Source organism: Homo sapiens, chromosome X (assembly GCF_000001405.40).
Source record: "Homo sapiens chromosome X, GRCh38.p14 Primary Assembly".
Taxonomy (NCBI): Eukaryota; Metazoa; Chordata; class Mammalia; order Primates; family Hominidae; genus Homo; species Homo sapiens.
This window is the reverse complement of record NC_000023.11, coordinates 82,814,596-82,822,909: the sequence shown is the minus strand read 5'-3', so window position 1 is coordinate 82,822,909 and position 8,314 is coordinate 82,814,596.

Genomic DNA, 8,314 nt, shown 5'->3' with positions numbered 1-8,314 from the left:
GGGAGGCTGAGGTGAGAGAATCTCTTGAATCCAGGAGGTGGAGGTTGCAGTGAGCCTAGATCGTGCCAGAGAAAGACCCTATTAAAAAAAAAGAAGAAGAAGAAAGAAAGAAAGAATGGAAAGAAAGAAAAAGAAATAGAAGAAAGAAGAAAGAAAGAAAGAATGAATGAAAGAAAGAAAGAAAGAGAAAGAAAGAAAAGAGAGAAAGAAAGAAGGAAAAGAAAGAGAAGAAAGAAAGAGAAAGAAATGAAAGAAAGAAAGAAAGAAAGAAAGAAAGAAAAAGAAAAAGAGAAAAAGAAAGGAAAGAGGAAAAGGAAAAGGAAAGGAAAACACTTAGAAATCAATAAAAACTAAAACAAACATATCAAAACTTATGAGATTTAGTAAAGGCAGGACTCAGAGGGAATTTTACAGCAGTAAATGCCTACATTAAGCAAAAATAAAGGTCTCAAGTTAGTACCCTAACTATGCAGATTAAGGAACTAAAAAAAATAGAAGTGCAAGTTAAACCCAAGGATAGAATAAAAAAAATTATAGCTGAGATAAGTGAAATAGGTAATGGAAAAACAATAGAGAAAATCAGTGCAACCAAAAGTTGGTTCTTTGAGAAGACCAACAAAAATGACAAATCTCTAGCTAGACTGGTTGAAAAAAAGGGAAAAAAGATACAAATGAGTAAAATAAGAAATGATGTTGGGAGCATTACTATTGGGACTCTACAGATATAAAAATCAATTGTAAGACAATACTGTGTATAACAGTATGTAAGCAAAATAGATGACCTAGATGAAGTGGACAAATTCTTAGAAAGACATAATTTGTTAAAACTGACTCGAGAAGAAATGGAAAATCTGAAGAGTCCAATAATAAATAACTGAATCAGTACTAACTCCCTTTTCTTGTTCCCAAAGTAAAGCCCAGAAACATGTGGCTTTCCTGGTAAATACTATCAAACATTTAAAGAATTATTGCCAATCCTTATTAATCTTTTGCAAATGATACAAGAGAAGGGACTACTTTCTACTTTCTAACTAATTTCATGAGGCAATCTTTTTTTTTTTTTTTTTTTTGAGACTGAGTCTCACACTATTGCCCAGGCTGGAGTGCAGTGGTGTGATCTCGGCTCACTGTAATCTCAGCCTACTGGGTTCAAGTGATTCTCCTGCCTCAGCCTCCCAAGTAGCTGGTATTATAGGCGCCTGCCACCATGCCCAGCTAATTTTTGTATTTTTAGTAGAGATGAGGTTTCACCATACTGGCCAGGCTGATCTTGAACTTCTGACCTTGTGATCTGCCCACCTTGGCCTCCCAAAATGCTGGGATTACAGGTGCGAGCCACCGCACCTGGCCAGGCTGTCATTATTCTGATGCAAAAACCAGGTAAAGTCATCACAGAAAATTACCCATCAATATCACTTATGAATATAGATACAAATTCCTCAAAATATACTTGAAAAAAGACTCAAAAGCATGTAAAGAGGATAATATCACCATAACTAAGTTAAATTTATCCCAGGAATACAAGGATGTTTTAACTTAAGAAAATTAATAGAATGAAGAACAAAAAAGCACATGATCATCCTGAGTGACAGACAACAATCATTTGACAGCATTAAACAACTTTTCATGATAAAAACACACGGAAAACTAATACTGTAAGGAAATTTTCTCAACATAATAAAGGGCTTTTTTCAAAAACCCATGGCTAACATCCTATTCAATGATGTCATACTGAAAGTTTTCCTCCTAAGATCAGGGACAAGACAAAGATGTCCATTTTTATCTCTTCCATTTAATATTGCACAGAATTTCTAGACAGAGCAATTAGGCAGGGCAATAAAAAAAATTAAAAGCTTCCAAATTATAAAGAAAGAAGTAACTTAGTGTGTCCACAAATCTTGAAATATCCACTAAAAAAAACTTTTTAATATAATTAAGAATTTATGCAAAGTTCCAGGGTACAAGATCAGTATACAAAATCAGTTCAGTTTCTATGCACCAGCAATAAACAATCCAAGAAATAAGTTTTTAAAATTTCTTTTTACAATTTAAAAAAGTTTTAAATTGTTAAAATTTAGTAACAAATGTAACTAAGACATGGAAACACTTGTATGGAAACAACAACACAACATTGCTGAAAGATGTTAAAGACCTAAATAAATGAAAAGAAATTCTGTTCTCATGGATTGAAAGACTTAATATTGTTAAGATATCAATAAAACCCAAATAAATCTATAGTCAATGTCTCTATCAACATCTCAATGCCTTTTTTTCCAAAAATGAATAAAACTGATCATTAAAATCACATAGAATTGTAAGGGTGCCTGAATAGCCAAAACAGTCTTAAGAAGGGACAGTAAAGTTGGAAGAATCACATTTCTTAATTTCAAAACATACCCCAAAGGTAACTGGCATAGGACAGACATCTAGACCTACGGACTAGAACTGACTATCCAGAATCCACTCATATATCAATTACCATTGATTTTCAACAACAATGCCAAGTTCATTCAATGGGGGAAATAACAGTGTGTTTAACAAATTTTCATAAGAGAGCTGCATATTCACTTGCCAAAGTAGACACCTATGCCACAGCAGATATAAAAATTAACTTGAAATGTATCAATGACCCAATTTTAAGAGTTAAAATAATAAAAATCCATTAGAAGAAAACATAGGGGTAAGTCTTCATGGCTTTGGATTTGGCAATGGTTTTTTAGATATGACACCAAAAGCATGAGCAACAAAAGAAACAAATAGATAATTTGGACTTTATCAAAATTTAAAAATTTGTGCATGAAAGGACATTATCAACAAAGTGAAAACCAACAGAATAAAAGAAAACATTTGTAATACCAATTAAGAATCTAGTATCAAGAATATATAAAGAAAAATAAGACAAACATTCCAATTAAAAATGGGACTAAAACATAAAAGATGCTCAATATCATTAGTCATTAGGAAAATGCAAATCAATATCACAAGCAGATACTGTTTTACTCCCATTAGGATAGCTATAAAGCAATGAAAGTAAGTGTTGACAGAAATGTGGAAAATTTGGAACACTCATACATTGCTATCAGAATGTCAAATGGTTTTCTCACTGTGGAAAATAATTTGGTAGTTCCTCCAAAAGTTGAGCATAGAATTACCACATGACCCAGTAATTCTACTTATAGCTGTACACTAAAATAATTTAAAATAGATACTCAAACAAGTGCATGTAAAGGCATCTTCATAGCAGCACTATTTACAATAGCCAAAATGTAGAAACATCCCAACTGTTTATGAATAGAACAATGAAAGACGAATTGTGTTATGTACACACAAGGGAATATTATTTAGCCATATAAGTAAGTTAATCTCTGATACCAGTTAAAGCATGGATGAATCTCCAAAACGATATGCTAAATATTAGAAGCCAGGCATAAAAGATCACATATTGTATGATTCTATTTACATGAAATATCTATTAGAGGATGAAAAAATTCATATAGAGGGCATACAAATGGTGGTTTCCAGGGCCCTGGGACAGGGGAGAATTGGGAGAAACTGCTTAATGGGTGAGGTTTTTTCCTTTGGAGTGACAGAAATATTTCAGAACTATATAGAGGTGGTGATTGCATGAAGTTGTGAATGTAATAGATGCCACTGAGTTGTTTTTAATAATGGTTAATTTTATGTTACATAAACCTCACCTCAATGAATTATTTAAAAAATAGTTTTGTACTTTAGAAGGAAGTCTTCTACCATTATTCGTAGTGAGTGCACTGAATTAAAAGAGGAAGTATCTATCTGAACATTTAATATTTTCCATGTCACTGGATAGGTAAGCAGGCAAAAAATATATAGTTATGATTTTGGCTAAAATTATTGATCCAGACACCTACTACTCAATGGTTACGGAGAAAAAATATGGTCAGAATTCAAGTGATATCTTGTATTTTTTTTCTCAAAAAAATATATGCAGTGGTAAAAGTTAATGGAAAATTACTCTAACAATTTAAGCTAACAAACCATAATGAGTAATATAAAAAGAGCAAGAACAACTTATCATTCTTTTCAGTGGCGGAGGTAGCAACATCCAGTGTTTAACAACAGTGGCAGTGATATCTTAATCATGCTGCTCAAATGGTATGGCCTAATTTGTAATTCCTGCCACCTGGCTTCTTTTGGTACTTGCCTGTTCTCCCAAGTCTGATTATCCAATTTTGCAGCCCTTTTCTGCCTATAATGATCAAAGTAACTTCCTGTCGTTTGCCACTAAGAAACCTGATTGGACAATAGTATCTGCACTCTCCCAACCTAGGCTGCCATCAAACTCCAGATTTTAGTGTTTAGCTTCCCTCTTTGCATTTCCTCTAGTCAGTTACTTTTACATCTATTACCCACTTTCCTCCTTATGTCCTTACTTTCGGAAACTCTTTGGTATGTAATGCTTAGATCATTTCTCTTCTGTCCCCCTGGTCCTATTGAGTGCTCAAAATATAGCCCCCCAGGGGGCAGGGGCAAGGCCCTGGAGAAAATGGAACAGGGTGCACTAACAGATATTGTACTTACACACACACACAAACACACTCACGACTCCACTTCCCTACATGTAGTCCTACATAATGGAAAAACTGTTGATTTATACTTCTCAATGTTCATGTATATTTAAGGACACTTTGTGCACTGCCAAATCTCTATTAAAAATGATATTAATACGTGGCTCACACCTGTAATCCCAGCACTTTGGGAGACCGAGGTGGGTGGATCACCTGAGGTCAGGAGTTCGAGACCAGCCTGGCTAATATGGTGAAACTCCATCCCTACTAAAAAAAAAAAAAATTAGCTGGGCGTGGTGGCAGGCACCTGTAGTCCCAGCTACTCGGGAGGCTGAGGCAGGAGAATGGCATGAACCTGAGAGGCAGAGCTTGCAGTGAGCCAAGATAGTGCCACTCCACTCCAGCCTGGGCGACAGAGCAAGACTCCATCTCAAAAAAAAATGATATTAATACTTCAGGTAACCATTAGTGGCAATAAAAATCTGACAATACTCTAGACACTTGGAATCCAGTAGAATAAAACCAAATCAATCAACCAAACAAACAAACAAAATAGGAAAACTTTCTGAAGCCACTTTCTCTTCCACTTACAGACAAAAACTTAAATATGGCCAACAGTTGATCAGGTCACAGAAAGGTTTCTTAAACATCTGTTGTAGCTGAAACTGTGTCTATATCAGAGTCTCTTTAAAACAGTAGTGTCTTTTGAGATATTATTAAATACCCCAAGATAAAAAGGAATTGTATTTTAAAAGCTTGAGAAATGCTGAGTTTAAAACTGTACAACAGTTGTTCTTACTCTAAAATTTATCAAAGTATTTAATATATTAGTGTGTGATATAAACACCCAGGATAGGAGTGGAATATTCAGCTGTTTCTTAAATATATTTGATGATTTTTTTTCTTACACAGTCCATTAATTGAGACCTATTGAAAACACTTGTGCTCTGATGAATATGATTTGTAAAGTCTATGTGATTTTAAACAACTACGTAGCATTTTTCCCTGCTAAAATGACTGACCCTTTTGATACTGGAGAGAAAGAATACCAGAATAATGTCTGGGATTTACCCTAAAAAAGAGAAAACAGAGCCAGGTCTTCCCCTCTGAGTACCTCCATCCATCTACTTTACTCAGAGGTTTCTGTGATGCAATTGCTGCAAAAATAAAAATAAAAAAAAATTAAAAAAAATCCATTCTGTTCTCTCGTACTCTCATGCTGTTTCGCCATTCAAGGGGTGGAGTCTATTTTCCTTTCTTCTTGATATTAGGTAGCCTTGTGACTTCCTTTGATCAACAGACTGCAGTGGAAGTGACTCTGTACCAGTTTTAAACCTAACCTGTAAGACTCTTAGTAGCTTCTGATTCCCCCTCTTAGGAGCTAGCCATCATACAAAGAAGTAGGTGTACCCTGCTAAAGAGAAAAGCTATTTTGAGAAAAACAGGTCCTGGAAAACTAGAGACTACACTGGGAAAGAGAGAGTCCAAGGTAGCCCACAATCATTCCACACAACCGAGCTGAGGCACTAAATATATGAGTAAGACCATTTTGTATCTTCCATCTAGAGTTGAGCTTCTCAAGCCAATACTATGTAGAACAGAGACTATCTGTCCCTTCTGAGCCCTACCCAAATTCCAGAATCGTGAGTAAGTAAATGACTTTTACTGTTTTAAGATAGTAAGTTTTGGGATATATTTTTATGTAGCAATAAACAGCTGAGAGAATTACTTTTCCTTTTAGAAAATTAAGTGGACTGATCAGCTCTACTCCTTTAAAATATCCACTGTTTTATCCAAAAAGTGATATTTTGCCACAAAATTACTAGAAATAAAATAATTTGAACAGTAAGATGGCTTCGTTAATAGAAAGTAACAGTATAAAATGGACGTTCATGAAAATTAAAGCAGACCTTTCCAAATTGTCTATCTGGCCAGCAAAGGATTCTTAGCTAATAGGGGAAATAAGGACTATTAAACTTGGAACCAGATAATAGTATTTCTATGACTAGCCTCATATATATAGAAAGAGAAAGCAGATGATTTCTCACACAAGGAGGAGATATGAGCCTATGAGAGATTCATCTCTTTTTATAAGCTCAGTTAATCAAATGCCTCTTGTTTGAGGTTTCTATTAATGAAAACACTCTCTGACATGGGCAATTGTCCAATATGCTTTAATACTTAACGTCTTCAAGCAAGGAACTCAAGTGATTTTTCAGACCAGTGATTTCTGTTTCACAGCGCACTTTGAGAAGCTGATAAACAATGTCAATGCACTTCCTAGAAAAATGTCCATACAGACATTCCCAATTTTGCATTTGATTGTAGAGGATTCATAGAATAGCTTAACTCCATTCGTATTGCCTCTAGTCATCCATGGAGTTTGGGGATGGTTCACAAACCACAGATTAAGGAACCCTTTCTAAGTCTGAGATAAATTTTGCTTAAATACGGTTATCTAAAATAAAGGAAAATGAGAAAAATTGAGTGTGTCAAGTGGCACAATTCTTTTGGAAGATAATTGTATAATGTACGTAGAAGGCTTTAGAATTTCCCAGTAATAATTCTACTTCAATCAGTGTTATTTGTAAGATCAGTAATTTGATTAGAATTTATATAAAAATACTGTCATCACCGGGCGCGGTGGCTCACTCCTGTAATCCCAGAACTCTGGGAGGCCGAGGTGGGTGGATCACGAGATCAGGAGAGCGAGACCATCCTGGCTAACATGGTGAAACCCCGTCTCTACTAAAAAATAATACCAAAAAAAAAAAAAAAACAATTAGCCAGGCATGGTGGCTGGTGACTGTAGTCCCAGCTACTTGGGAGGCTGAGGAAGGAGAATGGTGTGAAGCCGGGAGGTGGAGCTTGCAGTGGGCTGAGATCACACCACTGCACTCTAGGCTGGGTGACAGAGCGAGACTCAGTCTCAAAAAAAAAAAAAAATACTGTCATCACAGGCCAAAAAAATGGTAAATATTCACAAAAATAATTGGTTAAATAAATTATAAAACCTTTATACTGTGAAGTATTATGCAGCTATTAAAATGGTATTTCTGAAGCATTTTAAATGGCATGAAAAGATGTTCACACTATAATGTTAAATGAATAAAATGAGATAAAAACCTGTAAATACACTAAAAGATCCACTATGTTTTATATGCCATCTTTGTGTGTGTATTCAAATTTATATAGAGGTCTACGCAATATTGAAATTAAATATGTCAAAATATTAAAATTGATCTCTGGATGATGAGATTATGGACAATGGAATTATAGGTAATTTAAATTTAATTTTATTAGTTTTATTTCTATGTATTTTTATAAATTAATTTAGTTGTACATTTGAGTAACATTGGATTGAATAACACTGGCGTACACACACACACACATAAACATCAACACTGAGAGAGAAAGAACAAGGCCCCATCCCCAGACATTTTGATTTTATAATTCTAGAGTGGGCCCCAAACATCTGTATCAAAACAAAAAAAAAGGAAATACTTTGATTCTAATGCATAGACAAGGTTTACAAGCTTTGCTTTATGGTATTTTCTATAATTTAAGTGCATCGTTTGTATGAGAAAAATATATATATATAGTGCTCTGATCATGTTGAAAATAGGGAATATTCTCAATACCAGCCTGAGGAAAACATGCAAAAGAGGCATAAATATGTCTTTAGTATTGTTCTTAATACCCCTTTTTGAATCCTTATCTTGCTCCTGACTGTCTTTGTCACCTTTACCCATGTAATTTTCTGGAAA